Source organism: Homo sapiens, chromosome 4 (assembly GCF_000001405.40).
Source record: "Homo sapiens chromosome 4, GRCh38.p14 Primary Assembly".
Classification (NCBI taxonomy): Eukaryota; Metazoa; Chordata; class Mammalia; order Primates; family Hominidae; genus Homo; species Homo sapiens.
This window is the reverse complement of record NC_000004.12, coordinates 78,170,205-78,197,336: the sequence shown is the minus strand read 5'-3', so window position 1 is coordinate 78,197,336 and position 27,132 is coordinate 78,170,205. Positions and strand designations below refer to the sequence as shown.

The window sequence follows — 27,132 nt, the reverse complement described above, 5'->3', positions numbered from 1 at the left end:
ACTGTTTGTCCCGCTTTACAGATGTGTCTTTACTTCTTTGAGGCATACAGAAATTTAGTTAATTTGCCCAAAGGCACAGAAATGTTAAGTGGTAGAACCAGGATTTCAACCCCAGCAGTGTGACTTCAGAGCCCAGACTAATTTTACAGGAAGTGTGGGGTAAGAGTAGACCCAAAATAACTATAGTTAAATGATAAGCATCATTGTTGAGGTATAAAAAAAAGAATTGCCTGTACAAGCAAAAGGATGAAAGGAATTTTTACAAATGTTTACAAAACTTCATCTCAAGCTTCCAGCACATAATAGCCCTGTAATCTCACCCATATTTCTGTTCTACTTTGTCCCAATCTCCCCTCCACTTCTCTCTCTTGTTTTTCATACTTCCCTGCATTGCAACCAATTTTTGCTCATTCTCAACTTCAGTTTCAAAAGTTCTATAAACAACGGCACTTATGGAATCCCATGATTCTCATTAAAACTCTACAGAGGAAAAAAATCTCATTCAAGCCCCACAAATTGAAGTTGGCGTTTCTCAAGTCTCTTATATGATAAAGAGGACATTATTCCAAATACTTCACATACGTTTTTCTTTTCAATACTTCTGAGGAACAGAGAATATATGAAATCTTAAAGTGAAAACAATACTCAATCACTATCAGAAATACTGTGGAATATATGCCCACAGACACCATTACAATCAAGTTAGAGACACCAATTCAGGAAAAAAAAAAAGTTATCTAAATTTAGTTCATGGCTTTAATTTTGAACAACAAGATGAAGAATAAAAAACAGGCAAAATAAGAGTAAATAAGGATTATTCTAAAGTATATAATTTAATCTTTCCAAAGACCTCTAGTAAGGTTTTATACCAAAGACTTAAGAACAAATTAGCATGGGTCCAGAAAAAATTCATTATTTACCCAGTAAAATTTTTAAGCCAATATTATGTTCTAGAATAGATGTTTTACTGTACCAGATGCTAGAGATACTACAATCAATAAGATATGATCTTGTTATAAATAAGAAATCTGGCTGGGCAAGGTGGATCACACCTGTAACCCCAGCACTTTGGGAGGCCAAGGCAGGCGGATCACAAGGTCAGGAGATCAAGACCATCCTGGCTAACACGGTGAAACCCCATCTCTACTAAAAATTCAAAAAATTAGCCGGGTGTGGTGGCGGGTGCCTGTAGACCCAGCTACTCAGGAGGCTGAGGCAGGAGAATGGCATGAACCCGGGAGGCGGAGCTTGCAATGAGCCGAGATCTTGCCACTGCACTCCAGCCTGGGTGACAGAGCAAGACTCCATCTCAAACAAAAATTAAAACATAATAAATAAATAAATAAGAAATCTGCCTTCAGGTTAAAAAAAAGTAAAAAAAAAAAAAAAGTAATAAGAATAACAACATGCCAGGGAGAGGGGAGCCAAGATGGCCGAATAGGAACAGGTCCAGTCTACAGTTCCCAGCGTGAGTGATGCAGAAGATGGGTGATTTATGCATTTCCAACTAAGGTACCAGGTGCATCTCACTGGGGAGTGTCAGAAAGTGGGTGCAGGACAGTGGGTGCAGCGCACTGAGTGTGAGCCGAAGCAGGGTGAGGCATTGCCTCATCCGGGGAAGCGCAAGGGGTCAGGGGAATCCCTTTCCTAGTCAAAGAAAGGGGTGACAAGACAGCACCTGGAAAATCGGGTCACTCCCACCCTAATACTACACTTTTCCAAGGATCATAGCAAATGGCACACCAGGAGATTATATCCCACGCCTGGCTCGAAGGGTCCTACGCCCACAGAGCCTTGCTCATTGCTAGCACAGCAGTCTGAGATCAAACTGCAAGGTGGCAGCGAGGCTGGAGGAGGGGCGCCCGCCATTGCCCAGGCTTGAGTAGGTAAACAAAGCAGCCAGGAAGCTCGAACTGGGTGAAGCCCACTGCAGCTCAAGGAGTCCTGCCTGCCTCTGCAGACTCCACCTCTGGGGGCAGGGCAATGCCAAACAAAAGGCAGCAGAATCCTCTGCAGACTTAAATGTCCCTGGCTGACAGCTTTGAGGAGAGCAGTGGTTCTCCCAGCACGCAGCTGGACATCTGAGAACGGACAGACTGCCTCCTCAAGTGGGTCCCTGACCCCCGAGTAGCCTAACTGCGAGGCACCCCCTAGTAGGGGCAGACTGACACCTCACACGGCCGGGTACTCCTCTGAGACAAAACTTCCGGAGGAACGATCAGGCAGCAACATTTGCTGTTCACCAATATCCACTGTTCTGCAGCCTCTGCTTCTGATACCCAGGCAAACAGGGTCTGGAGTGGACCTCCAGCAAACTCCAACAGACCTGCAGCTGAGGGACCTGACTGTTAGAAGGAAAACTAACCAACAGAAAGGACATCCACACGAAAACCCCATCTGTACATCACCACCATCAAAGACCAAAGGTAGATAAAACCACAAAGATGGGGAAAAAACAGAGCAGAAAAACAGAAAACCGTAAAAATCAGAGTGTCTCTCCTCCTCCAAAGGAACGCAGCTCCTCACCAGCAACGGAACAAAGCTGGATGGAGAGTGACTTTGACAAGTTGAGAGAAGAAGACTTCAGATGGTCAAACTACTCCGAGCTAAAGGAGGAAGTTTGAACCCATGGCAAAGAAGTTAAAAACCTTGAAAAAAAACTAGATGAATGGCTAACCAGAATAACCAATTCAGAGAAGTCCTTAAAGGACCTGATGGAGCTGAAAACCAAAGCACAAGAAATACGTGATGAATGCACAAGCCTCAGTCGCCAATTCGATCAACTGGAAGAAAGGGTATCAGTGATGGAAGATCAAATGAATGAAATGAAGCGAGAAGAGAAGTTTAGAGAAAAAAGAATAAAAAGAAACGAGCAAAGCCTCCAAGAAATATGAGACTATGTGAAAAGACCAAATCTACATCTGATTGGTGTACCTGAAAGTGACGGGGAGAATGGAACCAAGTTGTAAAACACTCTGCAGGATATTAGCCAGGAGAACTTCCCCAATCTAGCAAGGCAGGCCAACATTCACATTCAGGAAATATAGAGAATGCCACAAAGATATTCCTCGAGAAGAGCAACTCCAAGATACCTAACTGTCAGATTCACCAAAGTTGAAATGAAGGAAAAAATCTTAAGGGCAGCCAGAGAGAAAGGTCGGGTTACCCACAAAGGGAAGCCCATCAGACTAACAGCTGATCTCTCGGCAGAAACTCTACAAGCCAGAAGAGAGTGGGGGCCAATATTCAACATTCTTAAAGAAAAGAATTTCCAACCCAGAATTTCATATCCAGACAAACTAAGCTTCATAAGTGAAGGAGAAATAAAATCCTTTAGAGACAAGCAAATGCTGAGAGATTTTGTCACCACCAGGCCTGCCCTAAAGGAGCTCCTGAAGGAAGCGCTAAACATGGAAAGGAACAACCAGTACCAGCCACTGCAAAAACATGCCAAATTGTAAAGACCATCGAGGCTAGGAAGAAACTGCATCAACTAACAAGCAAAATAACCAGCTAACATCATAATGACAGGATCAAATTCACACATAACAATATTAACCTTAAATGTAAATGGGCTAAATGCTCCAATTAAAAGACACAGACTGGCAAATTGGATAAAGAGTCAAGACCCATCAGTGTGCTGTATTCAGGTAACCCATCTCACGTGCAGGGACACACATAGGCTCAAAATAAAGGGATGGAGGAAGATCTACCAAACAAATGGAAAACAAAAAAAGACAGGGGTTGCAATCCTAGTCTCTGATAAAACAGACTTTAAACCAAGAAAGATCAAAAGAGACACAGAAGGCCACTACATAATGGTAAAGGGATCAATTCAACAAGCAGAGCTAATTATCCTAAATATATATGAACCCAATACAGGAGCACCCAGATTCATAAAGCAAGTCCTTAGAGACCTACAAAGAGACTTAGACTCCCACACAATAATAATGGGAAACTTTAACACCCCACTGTCAACATTAGACAGATCAACGAGACAGAAAGTTAACAAGCATATCCAGGAATTGAACTCAGCTCTGCACCAAGCAGACCTAATAGACATCTGCAGAACTCTCCACCCCAAATCAACAGAATATACACTTTTCAGCACCACACCACACCTATTCCAAAATTGACCACATACTTGGAAGTAAAGCACTCCTTGGCAAGTGTAAAAGAACAGAAATGATAACAAACTGTCTCTCAGACCACAGTGCAATCAAACTAGAACTCAGGATTAAGACACTCACTCAAAACCGCTCAACTACATGGAAAATAAATAACCTGCTCCTGAATGACTGCTGGGTACATAACGAAATGAAGGCAGAAATAAAGATGTTCTTTGAAACCAATGAGAACAAAGACACAACATACCAGAATCTCTGGGACACATTCAAAGCAGTGTGTAGAGGGAAATTTATAGTACCAAATGCCCACAAGAGAAAGCAGGAAAGATCTAAAATTGACACCCTAACATTGCAATTCAAAGAACTAGAGAAGCAAGAGCAAACACATTCAAAAGCTATTAGAAGGCAAGAAGTAACTAAGATCGTAGCAGAACTGAAGGAAATAGAGACACAAAAAACCCCTCAAAAAATCAATGAATCCAGGAGCTGGTTTTTTGAAAAGATCAACAAAACTGATAGACCACTAGCAAGACTAATAAAGAAGAAAAGAGAGAAGAATCAAATAGGCGTACTAAAAAATGACAAAGGGGATATCACCACCTATCCCACAGAAATACAAACTACCATCAGAGAATACTATAAACACCTCTACGCAAATAAACTAGAAAATCTAGAGGAAATGGATAAATTCTTCGACACATACACTCTCCCAAAACTAAACCAGGAAGAAGTTGAATCTCTGAATAGACCAATAACAGGCTCTGAAATTGAGGCAATAATTAATAGCTTACTATCCAAAAAAGGTCCAGGATTCACAGCCGAATTCTACCAGAGGTACAAGAAGGAGCTGGTACCATTCCTTCTGAAACTATTCCTATCAATAGAAAAAGGGGGAATCCTCCCTAACTCATTTTATGAGGCCAGCATCATCCTGATACTAAAGCCTGGCAGAGACACAACCAAAAAAGACAATTTTAGACCAATATCCGTGATGAACATCAAAGCAAAAATCCTCAATAAAATACTGGCAAACTGAATCCAGCAGCACATCAAAAAGCTTATCCACCATGATCAAGTGGGCTTCATTCCTGGGATGCAAGGCTGGTTCAACATACGAAAATCAATAAACGTAATCCAGCATATAAACAGAACCAAAAACATACCCAAAGGATTATAAATCATGCTGCTGTAAAGACACATGCACACGTATGTTTATTGCAGCACTATTCACAGTAGCAAAGACATGGAACCAACCCAAATGTCCAACAATGATAGACTGGATTAAGAAAATGTGGCACATATACACTATGGAATACTATACAGCCATAAAAAATGATGAGTTCATGTCCTTTGTAGGGACATGGATGAAGCTGGAAACCATCATTCTCAGCAAATTATCACAAGGACAAGAAACCAAATACCGCATGTTCTCACTCATAGGTGGGAATTGAACAATGAGAACACATGGACACAGGAAGGGGAACATCACACACCGGGGCCTGTTGTGGGGTGGGGGGAGCGGGGAGGGATAGCATTAGGAGATATACCTAATGCTAAATGATGAGTTAATGGGTGCAGCACACCAACATGGCACATGTATACATGTGTAACAAACCTGCACGTTGTGCACACGAACCCTAAAACTTAAAGTATAATAATTAAAAAAAAAAAAAAAGAAAATAATACAAACAAATCCCGAGGATTTGGTAGTGCGAACAGATTTCTTTAAACATTTTTTCACGTTACTGTAATATATTTTAACATATTGATGAATTTCTAATTCATAAAATAACAATAATTCCCTAGAGCAATAAAATGCCGGTTTAACTGATGATCCAAAAAGCTAGATGACAAGGCCAACAATTGGTACATCTTTTTAAATGAGAGAATGTTACCACATTTAAGAGAATTCCACCTAAATTACAGGTGAAAGGTGAGAAGATCCAGACATGTGCTAAGACCTACAAAAGCAACCTGACAGTCACTGTAGATCACCCTTTGTCTTGTCTTAGTTTGCTGAGGGTGCTATAACAATATACGTAGACTGGGTGGCTTAAGCAACAGAAATTTCTTCTCACAGTTCTGGAGGCTGAAAAGTCCAAGAGCAAGCTGCCAGCCAATTCATTTTCTGGTGAGGAGTCTTCCCGGCTTGCAGATGGCCACCCTCTCACTGAGTGTTTTTCAGTGTGCACGTATGGAGACAGCAAGTGAGCTCTGGTCTCTCTTCCTTTTCTTATAATCACACTAAGTCTATGGGATCAAGATCCCACTCTTATGACCTCATTTAACCCTAATTACATCTTTTGTTGTTTTATCTTAATTACTTCTGTAAAGGCCCTATCTCCAAATATACTCACATTGGATGTTAGGTCTTAAACATATGAATTTGGCAGTGTAAACAATTCAGTCCATGGAACCCCTTGAAACTGTCAGCCTAGTACATTGCTACACAACAGAAGCACAATAAAACAAACAACCATTTGTGTAACCATTCAAATAACATGTACTAAGCAAATTCTCTGTGTCAGGTACTATCTTGTGCTATGGGAAACTGGGAAGGGAAGGGAAGGGAAGGGAATGGAAGGGAAGGGAAGGGGTGTGGTGGGGGGATGGGGGATGGAAGGAGGGAAAGAAAGAAGGAAAGAAGGGAGAGAAGGAGGAAAAGAGGATAGGTGGGTGGGAAGACTTTGCCTTCACAATAGTACATTCTAGCAGATGATGATAAACAGTAAATAACCAAACAATGGGAAGAAAAAAAAAAGCAGTGAATGGGGGAAATGAAGAAGGGAGGTGGGAGAAATGACCAGTTCAGAGAGCATAGACAGGGAAGGCCTCTCTGAGGAAGTGATTTTACAATGAGATCTGAAGAAGGAGGGGGAGCCAGTCATGTGGGGTTTCTGAGGGAGTATTCCAGGGAGAAAGACTAAACAGTGCAAAAGCTTGGGCTAGTAACAAATTTGACTGACATGTGAGGAAAGGAAGTCACAGCGGCTGTACTGTAGTGGGTCATAAGGTGAAGAATCTGAGCTGAGGTCTGAGGGGGAGGCAGGAAGATGCAGACCAAGGTAAAGAGTGTGCACTAAGTGCACCAGAAAAGCATCAGAAGAAATTATACAAAAGAAAGGGCCTGATCTGAATTTAATATATTTAGCTGAGGTTTTCTGCGGCCAGGAAAGGATGTAGCTGGCCAACAGTAGAAACAACAGAACCAGGTTAGATGGCTAATGCATCAGTGCAGGCAAAAGATGAAAAATTTTTGGAATAGGTTTGAGGGTCTACTTTAGGAAGTAGAATTTATATGCATTGGATGTGGAGGGTAGAATTAGAAACAACTATGAGACATTTGGCTTTAGCCAAAAATTATATGAGGTAAAGGGAAATTGGAAGAAATTGATTGGGAAGGAAATATGGAATAAAGAGTTCTTTTTTGAACTTGTGAAATCTGAGGATTATTATATATGCAAATAGAGAAGTAAAATAGAGACTTGCCATCTGTGTCTGCCATGGGAGAGGTCAGGGCTAGAGGGAAGAATTTTTAAGTCAGTACAGACATATTTGAACCATAGAGCCGAATGAGAACACTTGGAAAGAGACTACAGCAAGAGAAGAAGGCCTACATCCCTAAAAGTTTGGGACACATCAACTTTTAAAGGAGAAAGATCCAGCAAAAACATCCTTGGGATGATAGAAACACATCCTTATCTTCTGCTCATATCATGTTCTGAACCTGAAGAACTGAGTACATGTTTCCAGCCTCAGTATTCCAAGAACAATGCAAGAAGACACAGGGAAGTTCAACGAAAGTGATCAAGAAAGTGAAAGCTCATTATAGGAATATCAGAGAAAATGATTATGGCAGTCCAGTCTGAACTGAAGGAAACCAAGTGGGATGCACTACCTCGTCCATTCATCTCCAATGCAGCTAAGCAGGGAGTATTTCTTTTATCCTCCAGTTTTGAGAAGTCAAAACTAAGTTTAATGAAAATATTATCCACAATTGTGCATTTAAATGAGACATGATATAATCATACATGTGGTCAGATAAGTCAGGAGAGGCAAAGCTTACAGGTAAATATGTCAGAACTAGAAGCAGATGATGTATATCCCCAGGCAGTCCTCCAATGACTTACTGTATCCTTTAACATGAGCAAACCTTTTGCCTTAGTCTGGGTCTCACCTACAGTTCGGCAGTAATACCACATGCCTCTTCACCTGGACATAATTAATTAGATAATAGCTGGAAATAAAACCGCATCTGTAGGGCACATACTTTGAGCTGTTTTTCACCCATAATGGTGTTTTTATGACTGTCCATCCATACCGCTGCCCTTTTATAGTCATTTATAGCATGAGGACGGGGACAGAGTAATGCCAACTGTCTATGCAAGGACTAAACCAGTGATTATGGTATTGGTGACCCTTCATTAGAAAAATACAGAATGTTTCCCTTTACAGAGTCCATATAAAATCTGGAGCTCAATGTGCAAAAACCCTTATGTGATGGTCAGTTTTATGTGTCAACTTGGCTAAGCTACAGTCCCCAGTTATTCAATCAAATGCTAATCTAGGCATTACTGTGAAGGTAATTTTATAGATGTGATCAACATCTATAATCAGTTGACTTTAAGTAAAAGCAATGTTCCTTTATATTCTTGTTGGGCCTGATCCAAACAGTTGAAAGGCCTTATAAGTAGAGCTGAAGTTTCCCTGAGGAGGAAAAAATTTCACCTGTGGACTGCAAGGTCCAGTGGCCTAGCCAGCCTCCATCATCAGATGAGCCAATTCCCTGAAATATTAGGTTGATGCAAAAGTAATTGCAGTTTTTGACATTAAAAGTAATGGTCAAAACCTCAATTACCTTTGCACCAACCTAAATATAGATAGATAGATTAGATAGATAGATAGATAGATAGATAGATAGATAGATAGACAGACAGATAGACTGTCCTACTGGTTCTGTTTCTCTGGTAGAACCCTGGCTGATAAGACACCTTCCTTTTCTCCACAGAGGAAGGAATCAAGTTTATGTAAATGCATACCACTACAGCTATAGAGTATTTGTTTCCATAGAAAGAAAGGGGAAAAGGCAAAGGAAGGATAACTGTTGACAGGTGACCAAGACCCCACTCAGACAAATTCTACCTCTCGTTAATCATATGCACCCTACACTTGGTGAATTTAAACTTTAGTACCAGATTCTTAAGGTCTTGTTTAATTGCATCACCAACAGCACCTCTGTTGATCCTGATGTACTGAAACAGACGCATAAAATCAAATGCTGATGCTGTCTTTAAGAATAGCAACAGGAGCCAGGCGTGGTGGCTCATGCCTGCAATCCTAGCACTTTGGGAGGCCAAGTCGGGCAGATCACAAGGTCAGGAGATCAAGACCATCCTGGCTAACACGGTGAAACTCTGTCTCTACTAAAAATACAAAAAATTAGCCGGGTGTGATAGCACATACCTGTAGTCCCAGTTACTAGGGAGGCTGAGGCAGGAGAATCGCTTGAACCTGAGAGGCGGAGGTTGCAGTGAGCTGAGATCTTGCCACTGCACTCCAGCCTGGGCAACAGAATAAGACTCCATCTCAGAAAAAAGAAAAGAAAAAAAAAGGATAGCAACAGCATTTATAGGCTATGTCTCACCATGAGGACAGATATCTTTCTGAGGGGCAATAGTCTTAATTTTAGCTATGACTTTAGTTCCTTGACTTCTCCCCCAGAAATGCCTGGGGAGACAGTAGGACACCTGAGGCCTGAGGCTGCCAACTATGGGGACAAAGTTTGAGGAATAACTTCTACAAAGGGCAAAAGTCAGCTATCACCCCTCCACACCTTTGTAAATGGGGTCTATGAATCATCATCTCGCCCAATTAGAAAAGCAGGTGTGGGGGTGATGTCATCCTTCTGCTTGTCCAGCTGATGAGGACAAAGCTAAGGGCCCTCTCCCCTTTCATCACTCCATGGGTGCCTCTTCTAAAACATCACGCTTGATTAAAAGATTCATTTTCTCCAACAAAGTAACACAGTGAAGAACATACAAGTAGCTTTGCAGCTCTGTTTGAACCTTCAAACACCAGGAAAGGAAACTGGACTCTAGAATATGTCCCTTCCACCTCTCGTTTCTACCATTTGTATAGAGAGTTGACCACAGTTTCTCTTTAAATGAGGCAACACTTTCATTCTCATCCATGCATGCATTCCCTCAAAAATATTTATTGTGTGCTTTGGAAAAAACTAAAGTAAATCAGACCAGATTTTAGGCTCAAAGATTTGGAGAGAAGCTAAGTACATATATTACTATAATACATGTTGGCATAAAATACACAAATAAAACTTCTGCTGGAGTTTAGGCATAATTAGACATAGCAGAGCAGCAGAATGAAAAGAAGACAAAACACTGAAAAGCAATAGCATGACCCATTAAGGGTTTTTACCCCGGGAAACTCCCATCACATTACGATCTTCTTGTTATTTATATATTTAGTTGCCACTAGAAAATAACTAATCAGAACACAATTTTGATGTTGTCTACTGGGAAATCATTGAAGAATACAGCTGCAACCGTTTGTACAGTGATTTGTGTCACATTGCATATTCCTGCTGTGGTCTGGGTGACAAGCTTTACATGAAAAAAACCAGTAAGTTTGTCTTAAAACTATATCTATATAAAACAATGGGGTGAGAATCCAAGCAGGTCCTGACCTGGCAAATGCTAATAAGCCTCATGTGATTCAAACTTAATACGGTGGCTCCAAATTAATACACACTTCCACATAGTTCACAAGTGACAGGCTTTATGATAAATAGAGTACTTCAGCAAAATATGCTATTAAATATATGTGAAGCCTTGAACAGATGGCATTTATAATAGATATCCCTGATAACTGATCACCATTTAGTATTCTCTGGCCCAGGCTCCTATCAAGGTTTCATGATTCTTGGAGGAAAAAAAAAAAAGTATGAGCAAGATCTTAATTTCCCAAGCAGTCTATCAAACAGCTGTTTCTCAACTCTCTAAAAAAATCAGACATTCATCAAAGCTGTTTGTGGAAAAAGTAAAATATGAATCTTCTGCAAGTTTAACCATAGGTTATCAATTTCCTGACCTATGTATGTTGAAAACCCCAAGTTTCTGATGTTACCAAACAGCTATATGTCTTACACACAGCACTTTTCCCATGACAACTGTGGAATATTCAACCTTAAGGTTAAGTGTTTTTTGGAGTCATGAGGCACAAGAAAGCAACGAGACTCAGCAGGTTTATAGGAAAGGGTCAGCAAAGAGGATAGCCTCAAAAAGAACCACAAAAGCATTTTGAATAGAAAATGCCAAATTAAGCCTTGATTGAAACATAGGTTATTAGGATAGGACAAGAGAGTCTGAGAACAAAGACACAGAAATCACAAACAGACAAGAGTCAAAGCCAAGGTTGATGATTTTCAAGAAGTAGGCAAATTGCACTTATTAGCTGTCTACAGTTCAAAGATTTTGCTTGTTCTGATCTGCATCAAGTATAGATATTTTTACATGCTAACCAAAATACTGCATGTTCTCAAAATAAAACTGTATGACAATCAACCAGTCAGGAATGCAAGGCGTCTGGTCACAACTTGCTGGAGTTTTTTTCTAACAATCAAGAAAAGCAAATAACTTTATTAGATTAAAAAAATACTCATATTCAAATCTTCTCTAAAGCTAATAACCTAAGCTTACAAACAGCCTCTAAAGTGAAAAACAATCCCGTGAGCATAGGGATTCAAATACCATCTGCAGTTTTATCTGAAAAGGCTAACAACTAACCTGCAATCTATAAACTCTGGCACAAATACATTCCATCTAAATTCTGCAAGACAATAATCTTGATAAATCAAGTTTACTTTAACAAAGCTGAAGCCAATAAAACAGCTACATGCCATAAACCCCTTCAGTCAGTTGACTTGCCTTTCACTCTATTTGCTTTCAACTAAATCACACTCACAAAGTGCCTACCTACCACAGGCTCCTACACAAGATACAACAGGAGCTTTGCAAATAATTTTTGATCAACTGACACGCAGCATTAATTCTACAAGTACTGGTCTCATCAACACATCTTGAAAAGTGATAATACTTCTAGAAGCATCATGGTAGACAGTCCTGGGGTTGAATGCCAGGGCACCACTTACTAGGCCTATGACCCAAGGGCACCACTTACTAGGCCTATGACATCTGTTTGCTGAAAAATGAAGATGTGATGGTTTTTCATGTCAACAGGGCTAGGCTAAACTATGAGCACAGAAGGAAGGACAGAGCCATTGGTAGCATACATAAACTTTTTCCCAGTTATTTAGTCAAACACTAATCTAGATGCTGCTGTGAGATTTCACAGATGTTAACAAAATCCCTAATCAGTTGACTTTAAGCTACAGACATCATCTTTGATGGGCCTGACCTAATCAGGTGGGCCTTTATAAGGGATTGGGCTCTTCCTTGTCAATGAGGCTCCAAACAGCACCTGGGTCCACAATTGCTCTCCCTTCACTGAATCATCCCTTCCTGACTTCCCTGTGGAGAACAGCTTCAGCTCATGCCCAGGGGTTGCAGACTGCCCACAATCTTCCTGGCTGCCTGTCCTATAGATGTGGACTAGTCAGAATTTAGTTGATATTTGCAGTTAAGTACCCAAGTACATATTATAGATCAAGGTCTGACAGACTATAGCCTGTGGGCCAAATACAATGCACTGCCTATACTTGTCTTGCCCACAAGCTAAGAACAGTTTTTACAAGTTTAAATAGTTAGGGGAAAAAAAAATATTTTGTATCACATGAGAATTTTATGTAATTCAAATTTCAGTGTATTTTATGAGAACCCAGCTCACTCATTCATTTACATATCATCCATGACAGTTTTCCCACTGTAGTGGCAGAGTAGTTGCAGTAAAAGACTTGCTTAGCCAACCCCTACAGTCATGTATGCCAATTCCTTGTAATAAATCTTTTAATATTATCTACTGCTGGTTCTGTTTCTCCAGTGACCCTGACTGATCTGGGGTATAATTACCTGTACTTCACGGCTTTGCTATGAGGAATAAATGGGACAATTTATAATCAACCCAGAGCAGTGTTTCTCAAACTCTAGTGTGTGCACAATCATACGGGACGTAGATTCTGAGTAGGTGGCTCTGAGTGGGGCTTACAGTGTACATTTCTGACAAGCTCCCAATTGATACTAACGTCACTGGTCAATGGACACAGTTTGACCAGGAAGAGCTGTCTTAGAGCATAATAAGCACTAAATAAATGCTACTTCCCTTTCCCCAACACTATCTCTTTGTCCTTAAAATTTTCAGGTTTCTTTTGTTGTTATTTATTTTGAACTTTTCAATTAATTAATTAAATATATAATGTGTTGACCACCTTCTAGAACTCTGTATGGCTATAATATATTTAAACACACACACACACACACACACACACACACACACACACACACAAAGAGAATGAAAACAGGGAGAAAAAAGATAAATCCTAAATAATGCCCTGCCATACCTCATGCCCAGAACTATGGACTACTCACAGAAGCCTGCACTTCTTTAGCCCAGTTGGTAGAAGACACACTTTAAAACCAAGACTAAAGAGATAATTTGACAGGAAAGTAAGGCAAGGTCACTCTTTATTATGTCCAAAACAGTCAAATGCCAACATAGAAACAATACAATACATTTTCTGGACACTGTGAGCACATTCCTGAGCAGGGCTGCTGAAAGATGGACCACCAATCTGCATAGGTGGTGTGGTTTCCGGGGACGCCAAAACAACTCCTGTGCAGAGACTAGCAATCCCCACTCTGCCTCACCTGGTGACTGTTAATATTTCATAACAGCTTTGTTCTTGTGGTTGGAGACTTTGCTTTCCTGGGAATTAAAATACCTGCCCTAGAGATGTAGACTTCAGAAACTAGGATGTTTGTTTCCATGTCCATACCCATCATTCCACCTACTACTCTCATCAGCCCATGAAACTGCACCTGTGGAAGATGCCAACAGCCTTCCCATGCCAACCCAAGAATTATGCAAGTCCATATCTGGCTTGACCCACTACAACTCTGGACACTCTCGACCCTGTCTCAACATCAGAGACTTCTGCGGCATTGCTCTCTCCTGGTTTTCCTCCTGTCTTAAGCTGCTCCTTCTATCTCTTTTTCCAGCTTCTCTGCTGTGTACCTCTTCTCAGCCTGAGTTCCTGTTTTTCTCCCTCTCTCATCCATTCTCATCTTTGTGCTGAACTCCAGACTCACACAGTTCTCTGTCCTCTGGGCATTTTTTTTTTTCTTTTTTTCTTTTTTTTGAGACAGGGTCTCCCTCTGCCACCCAGGCTGGAGTGCAGTGGCACGATCTTGGCTCACTGCAACCTCTGCCTCCTGGGTTCCAGCAATTCTCGTGCCTCAGCCTCCCAAGTAACTGAGATTACAGGCACGTGCCACCATGTCCAGCTAATTTTTTTGTATCCTTAGTAGAGACGGGGTTTCACCACGTTGGCCAGGCTGGTCTCGGACTCCTAACCTCAAATGATCCGCCTGCCTCGGCCTCCCAAAGTGCTGGGATTACAGGTGTGAGCCACTGCGCCTGGCCCCTCTGGGCATTTTAACTTAGATTTCCTCAAGTATCTCAGACTTAAACTGACCCAAATCAAACTCACTGTCACTATCCCTAAACCTACTTTTCTCCTGCACTCTGCTTTGCTGAATAGCATCATCATCCACCCAGGAAAATAGTGGAAACCTGGGAGCCCACCCTTCTTCTTTGCCTGGTTACCTCTTACTTGTCTTCTAAGATCCAGACTCTGCTTCTCTTAGGAACCCTTCCTTATCTGGCCTCAGTATGGGTGAAGCTCCCCTTCCAGGCCCCCAGGTGCTCCCCGTGTACATTTCCACTGCAGCACATATGACATGGTACATCATATAACCACAACACGGTTGCCCCTGTTCTATACTTTCATGGCATCCTGAGCTTTTGCTTTATAGCATTTCTTACAAATATAATTCTATGGTCATTTGTGAAATTATTAAATACCTGCTTCCATCTTGGCCCGGCCATCTTGTGGGAAGAGCTGAAGCAGGCGCTCTTGGCTCGGCGCGGCCCGCTGCAATCCGTAGAGGAACCCGCCGCCGAGCCACCATCATGCCTGGGCACTTACAGGAAGGCTTCGGCTGTGTGGTCACCAACCGATTCGACCAGTTATTTGACGACGAATCGGACCCCTTCGAGGTGCTGAAGGCAGCGGAGAACAAGAAAAAAGAAGCCGGCAGGGGTGGCGTTGGGGGCCCTGGGGCCAAGAGCGCAGCTCAGGCGGCGGCCCAGACCAACTCCAACGCGGCAGGCAAACAGCTGCGCAAGGAGTCCCAGAAAGACCGCAAGAACCCGCTGCCCCGCAGCGTTGGCGTGGTTGACAAGAAAGAGGAGACGCAGCCGCCCGTGGCGCTTAAGAAAGAAGGAATAAGACGAGTTGGAAGAAGACCTGATCAACAACTTCAGGGTGAGGGGAAAATAATTGATAGAAGACCAGAAAGGCAACCACCTTGTGAACGAAGATTCGAAAAGCCACTTGAAGAAAAGGGTGAAGGAGGCTAATTTTCAGTTGATAGACCGATTATTGACCGACCTATTCGAGGTCGTGGTGGTCTTGGAAGAGGTCGAGGGGGCCGTGGACGTGGAATGGGCCGAGGAGATGGATTTGATTCTCGTGGCAAACGTGAATTTGATAGGCATAGTGGAAGTGATAGATCTTCTTTTTCACATTACAGTGGCCTGAAGCACGAGGACAAACGTGGAGGTAGCGGATCTCACAACTGGGGAACTGTCAAAGACGAATTAACTGACTTGGATCAATCAAATGTGACTGACGAAACACCTGAAGGTGAAGAACATCATCCAGTGGCAGACACTGAAAATAAGGAGAATGATGTTGAAGAGGTAAAAGAGGAGGGTCCAAAAGAGATGACTTTGGATGAGTGGAAGGCTATTCAAAATAAGGACCGGGCAAAAGTAGAATTTAATATCTGAAAACCAAATGAAGGTGCTGATGGGCAGTGGAAGAAGGGATTTGTTTTCATAAATCAAAGAGTGAAGAGGCTTATGCTGAGGATTCAGTTATGGACCATCATTTCCAGAAGCCAGCAAATGATATAACGTCTCAGCTGGAGATCAATTTTGGAGACCTTGGCCGCCCAGGACGTGGCGGCAGGGGAGGACAAGGTGGACATGGGCGTGGTGGGCGCCCAAACCGTGGCAGCAGGACCGACAAGTCAAGTACTTCTGCTCCTGATGTGGATGACCCAGAGGCATTCCCAGTTCTGGCTTAACTGGATGCCATAAGACAACCCTGGTTCCTTCGTGAACCCTTCTGTTCAAAGCTTTTGCATGCTTAAGGATTCCAAATGACAAATTAAAAAAAAAAAAAGACTGTCATTCATACCATTCACACCTAAAGACTGAATTTTATCTGTTTCAAAAATGAACTTATCTCGCTACACAGAAGTAACAAATATGGTAGTCAGTTTTGTATTTAGAAATGTATTGGTAGCAGGGATGTTTTCATAATTTTCAGAGATTATGCATTCTTCATGAATACTTTTGTATTGCTGCTTGCAAATATGCATTTCCAAACTTGAAATATAGGTGTGAACAGTGTGTACCAGTTTAAAGCTTTCACTTCATTTGTGTTTTTTAATTAAGGATTTAGAAGTTCCCCCAATTACAAACTGGTTTTAAATATTGGACATACTGGCTTTAATACATGCTTTGCATATTCACACATGATCAACTGGGACATGTTAAACTTTGATTTGTCAAATTTTATTCTGTGTGGAATACTAACTATATGTATTTTAACTTAGTTTTAATATTTTCATTTTTGGGGAAAAATCTTTTTTCACTTCTCATGATAGCTGTTATATATATATGCTAAATCTTTATATACAGAAATATCAGTACTTGAAGAAAAAAAAAATCTGCTTCCCCCACTAGATCAAAGCTTTCATACCATTAGGCACCATCTATCCTGTTCACCACATCCAGCACACCCAGAGCCTGAGACACTGTATATGCTCAATTTGTTGTTGAATGAATGAATGTTTACCTGTGTATCTCTTCCACTAGACTAGGAACCTCGTAGGAGTAGGAACTGACTTTTATCCTAGTGCCTAGTACACAGTGAGAGCATGCTAAGTGTCGGTTGGCTGAATAAGTTAATGTAAGTATAGTGATATCATTAGTAGTCAAAAAGCAAGCTTCATATATATAAGAGTGTTTGTTAACCAAACCTTTTCAGCCACTTCTCTCCATGGCTCCCACTGATTGCCACAGCATCCTTGCACCAACTGCCCAACTCCCTGCATTTCCCTGGGTAGCTCCTATGCCCTGGGTAGCTCCTATGTCAGTGGGACAGTCATATTCATTTGTCTCACAAGTGGCTGCCAGTTCCATTCCTTAAATGCCTAGAGACATATAACAGATGTCTCTTAATCATATATGGTTTTATTCCACCTCCAGATGAAAGTCAATTCCCTTAGATAAATTATTTGGATGAAATAAGTACCTGGAATCCCTCCTTTATTCACCTTCTTTGGATTTCTGTACAAACAACACATTCAAAGTTTATAGAGATGTCATTTTGAATATATTTTCTGGAGCAGGGAAGGAATGGCTTTTCAAAGCTCCACATTTTAGAGAGTTTTATACAACTCACATTTTTAATGAAACACTTCCTGCTAATTCAGGGGAATTCCACTTTCTTTCATCCAAGGCCTGAGGAGATTGTGAGCCATGTCTTGGCATAACTTGCCTGCCTACCTGCTGGCACGTGATATTAAAAAGAAGAGGCCACCACAGGTGCTTTTTCTGTGGAGAGCCAGATGTCAAGAAAAGGCCCCAAGGCTGAAAGAATGAGAAAAATGTAAATGATCCAACAGGGCCTCAACTGAAGATACACTTCCAGTCGGTGAGAACAATGGCATTTTCCCATTCCATTCCATTTTCTGGTTCTAAGTTGCATTCTCAAGAAGTTTTCCTTTGCTATATCCACAACTGCAACACCAGAATGAGAAACAAAAGGAATACTTCATCATTCTCTGTGTTCCTATACACTTTCCTGATACGTGAGTAGCCCTATTGTGTAGGTGGGAACAGTGAGATACTGAAGAGTCCTGAAGATCAAACCACAGGCAATTCCAAGAGGAATGTATAGTCATGGCTGCCCTTCGCTCCCCTCGAACATCTGTGCATCAGCGGTAGTTAGGGGGTGGGAACTACCCTTTATTGAATACCTACTCTATACCTCACCCTATGTAGGTACTCCACATACAGTATCCTATTTGAAGCCCAAAATAATCCTGTAGTGGGTTTAATAGTGTCTCCCCAAATTTTATGTGCACCTGGAACCTCAAAATGTGCCCTCATTTGGAAATAGGGTCTTTGTAGAGGTAATTAGTTTAATCCCCAGTCACTGGCTGAGAGCAGGGGCAAATGGAAATGTCCAGCACAAGGGCTCTCAAGCATATGACACCATTACACCCCTGAGAGATGCTAGCTTGCTGTTTCTTGGTGAGTGTCATTTTGCAAATCAATTGGATTAAGATCTCAGCTGCTCAGACATTAGTGAATTGAATGTCAAATACTACACTGACTATCAGGGGAATTTTTATGTTGATGCCCACCAAATTAATACTTGTTGGTTATACCCTGGTTCAGAAATGAAGTAATTTTTCTTTTGCAGGTAGCTTCTTCTTATATGTGAGATATCACTACTTCATGTATCAACATCTATACAAATTGGTAATTTAAGAAAAAGGACTGAAAACTACGAAGCCTAGAATGTCATGGAATCTTGGACCTGGAATAGAACATCCCACTTATTCTCCTACTTAGAGCAGAAATCCCTTTTAAGGTGCCTGCAGTAATCATTCTTTCGATAAAAATGCCAATCATTGGGTAAAGTGCCTCTACCCAATGACTGGTATCTTTATTTTTTTAAAAAAAGGAGAGAACACACATACACATAGAAAGAAAAACAGCCACAAGAAGACAGAGACAGAGATTAAAGTGATGCTGCCACAAGCCTAGGAGGCCAGGAGCTGCCTGAAGCTGGAAGAGGCGAGGAAGGAATCTCCCTTAGAGCTTTGGGAGGGAGCATGGCCTTGACAACACCTTGATTTCAGACTGTGGCCTCCAGAGACAGAAAAAATTTCTTTGAGAGAATAACTTTCTAATTTTTTTAAGTCACCCAGTTTGCGGAAATTTGCTATGGCAGCCCAGGAAACTAATACAAATCCTAAGAGGTTAGGTATCATTACTGCCATTGTACTGACACAGAAACTGAGGATCAACAGCGTTCAGTAACTTCCAGGAAGTAATACACAGTGTTCAATCCAATCCGTATGTAAGGGGAGGGAAGGTAAAAGGTGGTGAGGCACCTGAAAGGAAGAAGGTGTATGAGATAGAGGCAGGGCTGCAATTTTCAGCCTTAGTGTTGATGGTGATGAACCAGGAGTTACAGGTGCTGGAAGCATAATCTCAAGTAGAGCTGGCAGACCCGCCTTCCCTACGGCCACCCCTGCCAGCAGTGATTCAGGACCCAGAGACTCCCAACTGACCTCACCCAGAGATGGCTGTTTATTTTGCTTTAACTCAATGAGAGAACAATTTTAACAATGAAACTGAACAGGTACAACAAGAGAATGCTAACCATAGACCAATGTCCCCAACCACTTGTCTCAGCAGCTCATGAGTTGCCCATGGCCATACTCCACCATTAAGGTTCCACTATGGACCAAGGCAGTGTTTATTTCCTCCTTCCATAAACATTGAGGTATTTCAAAAATACCATTTAGAATAACATAAAGAATACCTATGTACTACCATTTAGCTTTCATAATTTTTAACACTTAAGTATAATTATTTGTTTCTCAACTATATTTCAAGCCATGTCCCCCTCTTCTGGTGAATATAAAACATTTCCAGGAGGCTGAGGCAGGAGAATGGCATGAACCCAGGAGGCGGAGCTTGCAGTGAGCCGAGATAGCGCCACTGCACTCCAGCCTGGGCAACAGAGCAAGACTCTGTCTCAAAAAAAAAAAAAAAAAACTCACATCACTCTCTCTCTCCCTCCCATTGAGGTTCTAACGCACTCCCACTATGGAGGTGTGTAACCTGCCTATTGGCAATTGTTGGGACAGACATAATGAATTTTGGTTTCAGCAATACAAGACAAAGGTCCCTGTGATGTTTTGATGGGACAGATAAGATGACCAAAGCCAAGAGTAGGTTGAATGGTAGTACCCATTGATGTGAGTTAGCTAATTGGTCTCAACCTAAAGAAGGCTCTTTCTTGACATGCTACAAGGCCCCTTCCTTGTTTCTTTCCTATTAACATTTTTACCAACAACTTGTATGAAAACTTAGAAGTATGTGAGTTAAACTTCTACTCAACACATTCCATTCTATCTTGTATTGCATAAGTGTTTACATTCCTCTCCCCAGCCACACTGTAAGCTTCATAGGTGTGCCTGCCTGGAGCCTTGCCAATAGCTGTGGGCTCAAAAAATGTTGGTTGAATTAAATTGTACTTATGAGGACAGGTTGCAGAAACTGGGAATGTTTCGCCTGGAAATGAGAAGGTGTCAGGGAGAAATGATGGCTGTCTTCACATATTTGAAGGATGATGAGATTTAAGCAATGTAGCTCTTCAGGGAAAAATCAGAACAACTGGTGAAAGGAACAGTGAGTTGATTTCTGCCCAGTGTAAGGAAACTCTTTATAACATTTACACCTGATGGCAATGGGAATGGGTGGAATTGCGAGTCCTCATACTCACAATGGGAGGGGCGCAATGATTACTGCAGGCACTTTAAAAGGGATTTCTGCTCTAAGTAGGAGAACAAATGGGATGCTGTATTCCAAGTCCAAGATTCTATGACATTCTAGCCTTCCTAGTTTTCAGTCCTTTTTCTTAAATTGCCAATTTGCATAGATGTTGATACATGAAGTAATGCTATCTCACATATAATAGGAAGCTAACTGCAAAAGAAAAATTACTTCATTTCTGAACCAGGGTATAACCAACTACAGGTATTATTACCCTTAATTTCGTGGGCATCAACATAAAAATTCCCCTGATAGTCAAAGTAGTATTTGACATTCAATTCACTAATGTCTGAGCAACTGAGATCTTAATCCAATTGATTTGCAAAATGGCACTCACCAAGAGACGGCAACCTAGTGTCTCTTAGGGATGTAATGGTGTCACATGCTTGAGAGCCCTTGTGCTGGACATTTCCATCTACCCATGCTCTCAGCCAAGGCATGCTGGCCTGCATGGACCACGTCAGCAGGCTTCCAGAAGGATTTGGCCAAAGAGGAGGACTGGCAGAAGATCAGAGGGAGGGTGGAAAGGGTGGCCATTTCCTTCCTGCCTCCCTTCCTACTGTGCATCATGATCTGGCCAGGTCTCTCATCTGAAGCCACAATTCCTGTAAGATGACCCTCTCCACAGAGCTGGCTCTGCTTCCAGGTTCCCAGAAATGCTCTTCTTCCTTTCCCTTTCAGATGTAGAATTAATATTGGCTCCCTGCTGTAACTACCCCTAGGATATTGCACTATTCCTGTGGTTTCCCTATACAATGCCCTGCCCTCACCTCTGAAAAGAGTCCCCTTATTGAACTCTCCTCAAATCACCCAGTTCAGGTCTGTAGACCTTCCTGCTGGAGCATTAGCTGACACAGCCAGACCAGAGTCAAGGCCAATAAACTGAGGGTGCATTCAATGGCAGAGTAAGTGTGTCCCTCCTTACCGGGGCACACAGATGGGAGATGTTGCCACCCAGAGAAACTCCTGGGAGTCTCTCCAGTAGTGCTGGTCTGACCAAGAAAAGAACAGTAAAAGCAATTAGACAGTAACAGGAGATCACAGTCAATTCATTAGAAAATGTGTTAATTAATGGGAGCCAGAAGTATAAATACTGAAAGAGCCCAAATGTAAATCTTGCTCCCCGCCCCAACAAAAAGTAGCCTCCAGGCGATGGGATAAGAAGCCAGGAGCCTGATGGGCAGTGTCCGGATGGGGCCGGTGGAGAGCAGCCAGCCTGCATTTGCAGGAAGTAGCAAAGGCTGATTTCACCCACTTCATCTTTCTGCCTAGAACCAAGCCTGCTGAGATGCAATAATGAAAATCTTCACAGCACATTACTGAATACAGTAATGCCTTTCTGCCTCAATAATACCGCAGCCTGTGCATGAATGTAATGCATTATTCTGATGCTGCTAGAAGAAAATTCAGTGATTTACATTTAGGGTTTATGTTTTGTTTCCAAATGAAAACATTCATCCCAACAACTATTCCTACACAGGTATTCCCAAAGCAAATGGCTCAAGATTTAGACTGTGTTCTGTTGCCTAAGACTTCTGACCTAATTCAGCTTCCCATCTTACCAGATTTTTAAAAGCCTGGTTAAAGATTTATAATCCTGTCATTTTATCCCCAGGACAAATTATATTCCAGGTGACTTTAATGCATGAAGATGACCAGTGCTAGTCAGCCAAATACTTGGCTTATCTTAATTGTTAGACAGTTGGTATGCTCAGCATTTTTGAGAGAGCTGAGTGAGTGCACCCCTTCTATCTTTTCCCTCCCTTCCATACTGGTTATATCCCAGGTAGATAACTATGCCTGGTTACAGGAAAACAAAGGATCTTGTAGAGCGGGATGGGAGTTTGGAGCTTGTATTTGCACTGCCATCATTGGTAGGAAGTGTTACATCTCATTATCTTCTTCTCAGACACATAATCCTCTTGTATATTCAAATGGCATTCAAGTCTTCATTAAGCAGGTTCCATGATCCTACCAAATATGGAAGAGATCCATGGACATAGGTATGTTTGCCAAGCGCTAAATTAATAGTAAGGTTTTTTATGTGACCTAAGTGGACTGTGATTTCTTGTAGTCAAGAACATGAGCCAACACATTTCCAAGTTAAAGCAGTAAACACAGCAAAATTTAATTTACAGAGAGCTCCTGGGAAACATGAGGCTCATTCAGAGAGTCAAAGCATCAGAGACTGGTCCTAAAAATAAAAGAAGCTGCTATTCTGATCTCCCGGATTCAGCTGTGTGTTCAGTTGAAACACGGGAGACAGAGGAGACACCAAGGGACGTGGCAATCAAGAGTTAGTCACGTAGCACCCAGTTACACCATCTGTACAGTGAAGCTGAATGCACACAGTAACTGATGATAAGCATTAGTAAGAAATATTAAGCACCTTGAGAATAACAGTGTAATGCATATAGAAATGTTTTCTATTACTTCAACCAGCCTTGTCATTTTTACCCATGATGGTTTTCTAAAATTGTGTTTTAAATGAGGAGCACTTTCTCCATAGCCTCCCAGTAAGAAATTAGAATGTCTTAAAAAATCACATAGTGCCGCCTGTTAAGATTTGTTAGTGCTTAACACTAATCAGTAAACACAACCCCAACTTTATGCACCTTATAGAAAGACGTGAGTTGAGTAAGAATGAGTGAAGCACTCAAGTGAAGTCAAAATACCTGTATGAAATAACTGGAAAAGATATTTTGCTTCTCAGTTTCAATTCCAAGATGCCTCTCATGTGTAGAAGGCAGGATGCCTCTTGGGAATGGGACTGGGAATGGGGGAGCTTCCCAGTAATTGTAAAGAGGGAGGAGATGCAAGTGAGGGAGTCTCAAGAGTAAAGGGCATCTGGAGAGTAAAGGACCTCCTCCGGGAGGTGACAAGACTCCTCCATTTCATGTCCATAGCACCCTAGGGAGGGAACAACAGTGTCAGGAGACAACAGCATCAGGATAGATCCCAATGTTTCAAGGTTGGAGCAGAAGTAGCAGATTCCTAAACCCAAGAGGCTTGGGGTATGGGACAAAGGTATCTGCTGGGAACTGGCTTGCGCTCAAGAGAGAGATGAGCCACCTCCTTAAAGACCTAGAAGACCTCACATTGTGTAAGACCTCAGACTGTGACAAAACCCCAGGAAGACTAAAGGATACATCAGAAAGACTGAGGGTATTGTTCTGCACATCTGACAGCATGGAGACACAAAGTCAGAAACTGAGCAGAGTTGTAAAACCGAAGTCAGCCTTTCGAGCACACCTGAGCTGTGGACAAAGATTCGCACCCATCTTCTAAAATAACATTTCACAGTGTGTTTCTCTTTTTTGGGTGTCATGGATAAAATACTCCTGCCAACACAGAGACCGCAAGGGCACTATTTTTATCATATGATCACCTCTAAATTCAATCCAAAATAATAAGACTTTGAGGAAAAGTGCAGTTTTAAAATATAAAGGGGCCCCAAAGAGCTCTTCAATCAAGAACTCCACAAAAGACTCTCAATAGACTAATGTTCTTCAGGCTAATAAAATTAATGGAAAGAGGTGATGTAAAAAAAAAATGGTGACTTTTAAAAATTAGATAAGCTTAGTATTATTGTAAAATAATATTAAAAAATAAAACTGAAAGAAAACTAATTTATTCATGCACTAAAAAAATCTTACTTTTTAAAATTAGTTGTTTAGTGTCAGAGTGAAATATGACAATCCATCTTCTTTGGATCCTGACATTGTTATATTTTAATTTTTAGTTTTCAAAATTCAGCTTATCTACCAAGATTAGAAACTAACTAAAAACAAATTTCCAAAGTGTTAACAGGTATGGCTAGGTCAGAAAAAAAGTGTTTGTCAGTCACTTAGCCAGAAATTACAAAGCCTATGCTGTTTCATTAAATGAAAATTTCTGGTTAAACACAAACACTGTTCATGTCATATCTTACTGCAAATGTTTCTAAAAATGTATTTGTCTGTTTTTTCCCATCTTGGTAAATAACATATGTTAAATAGAACAACTTTTCCTAGATGATTCTATCTCATTAAAACCAATAACTACACATACAGCTTTCACTATCGTTGGTGCACTAAGCCAGGAGATGAAATCTGTAACCAGAAGGGCAAGGAATGTGCAGTCTGCAACAGGCCTAATACAAGCACGCAGATACAGACACTACAGGGAAACAGTGAGGCAGGAAACACACAGGGGGATGCTGTGGAAGGGGAGAGAGAAGGTCAGAGGGAGCAGGAGATCACCTAAATGAGAGGTCAGAAGTCAAGGCCCATCTTAAATACTGGAAAAGGCATTTAAGGTAAAGACGGAAGGAAGCTATTCTTGACTTGAGAAATGACATGAGGAAAGAAATGGTCATGTAAAAGCATAGAGAAGCTTTTAGGGTAAGTGTAGATACAGCTAGCAAGATGGGATGGGGCTGCATGATGGTGCTCTTAAGGGCCGGGTCAACGAGCCTGTATTGAAGTGGATAGGAAACAGGGAGCCACAGTATTATGTGAGGAGGGAGGAAAGAAGGCTGAAGTCAGACTGTGAGAAAAGGCTACAGCGATGTGCTGGAGAGCACAGCCAGCAGCAGGAGAGGGTGGCTTCATAGCAGGTGCTAATTTTATTTTTTCCAGCCAGGAGGCGACACTCACAGGCTAGGCAAAGAACCTGAGGATGGTGGCGGCCCCAGCCATGGAAAGAGTGGTAAGAGAAGCTACAAAGGGAGTCCCCGTGGAAGCTGTAAAGCATTGAATGTGGCAAGAAGTGGTGGTAGGTGTGGGGGTGGAGGTGGGAGTTAACAGTAACTCCAGCTCCAAAATGTTTTGTTGCATGAAAAAGAGCAAGTTGAAGAATTCTAAGCATAGTATATGATATTTATGTAAAAGAAAATCATTAAAACATTATACTATATATTTTGTGTGGGCACATGTAAAACACATAAAGAGGCAGTAGAGAATGGTGATTAAGGGACTCTGGAGCTACAGGGCCCAGGTTCAAATCTCCATTCTGGCAGATATAGGCCTGTGGCCTTGGGCAAATTACTGAACCACCCTGAGAGGGACAGGGAGGGTGAGCTCGAGGAAAGCAGAATTGATGTGAAATTGCAGTTATTTTATTTTTTTTAATTAACAAAAGATTGCTTACCAGCAGTGAAGGTCCAGCTGAAGTTAGAGTTCATAGTTTTTGAGGCATCAATTCAGAGCAAAAAGAGAACCAATCACAGACAAGCTACCTCATAGGTAAGGAAGGCCCGCAAAGAGATTCGTGAGCCCTAAAATTGCTGGTTCATTGTGAACTTGACTGTGCCTAAGACTGGTAAATAAAGACAGACATTAAAAATGAAAATGAGAACTGAGAGAGAGAGAGTGGAATGGGATGCCAGAAGCCAAAGGAAGAAAAAAGAGCAGCTCCTCATGAGAGAGGAGGGAGGTGGCCTGAGAAAGGAATTCAAAGGCAGAGCAATTTCACCTGAGGATGCAGTGTGACTGTGGGGCCACCCGTGACATGAAGCTAGAGCTACTCAGATGGCATATAAAGAATAATGAGGATGGTATCAGAGGTGATCCTGACCTTCCATCTCATCTCTCTGATCATCAGTTATCACTATTACAACATAATAGATGAAAACGACAATGAGAGTGTTCTGAATGCATTCGGGCATTTCCTCAAAGTTTAATCCTTGGTGAAATCCCCAGGATGCATTTTTTTCCTTTCCTTTGCTGGTTCATTTATTCAACAAATAATTACTATGCAAAGCACTGTACAATCTGTGAGAGATGCAGATCTCATCTATGGCGGCAGCACTTAAGGGGCTTACAACCTATTGGAGGGTATATGAAAATAATTAGCCATTTTACAAGAGCTAATTAACAAGACAACAGGTGATGCTAAAATGCAACATGAAATGAAGTGACAAGTAAATTATATGTGCTTACAGAGGAGAAATATCACTACCGGTTGTTGGCTAACCTTTCATACATTCATTTAGCAAAGATTTACTAAGCACCAACTATATGTCAAACTCTTTGTAGCTATTTATATAATGGTGAACAAAACAGACACAAACCCAGCCTTTAACATAGGGGGAGAAGATAAATAGTAAACAAACGTACAAATA

At 41.5% G+C, this 27,132-nt stretch overlaps 1 protein-coding gene and 1 pseudogene across 2 annotated transcripts in view; one reads left to right on the top strand and one right to left on the bottom strand.

The window, feature by feature from the left end:
* Positions 1-27,132, bottom strand: part of FRAS1 (Fraser extracellular matrix complex subunit 1) — a 486,947-nt gene that overhangs the window by 346,933 nt on the left and 112,882 nt on the right. The window lies entirely within an intron of this gene.
* Positions 15,192-17,125, top strand: SERBP1P5 (SERPINE1 mRNA binding protein 1 pseudogene 5; annotated as a pseudogene).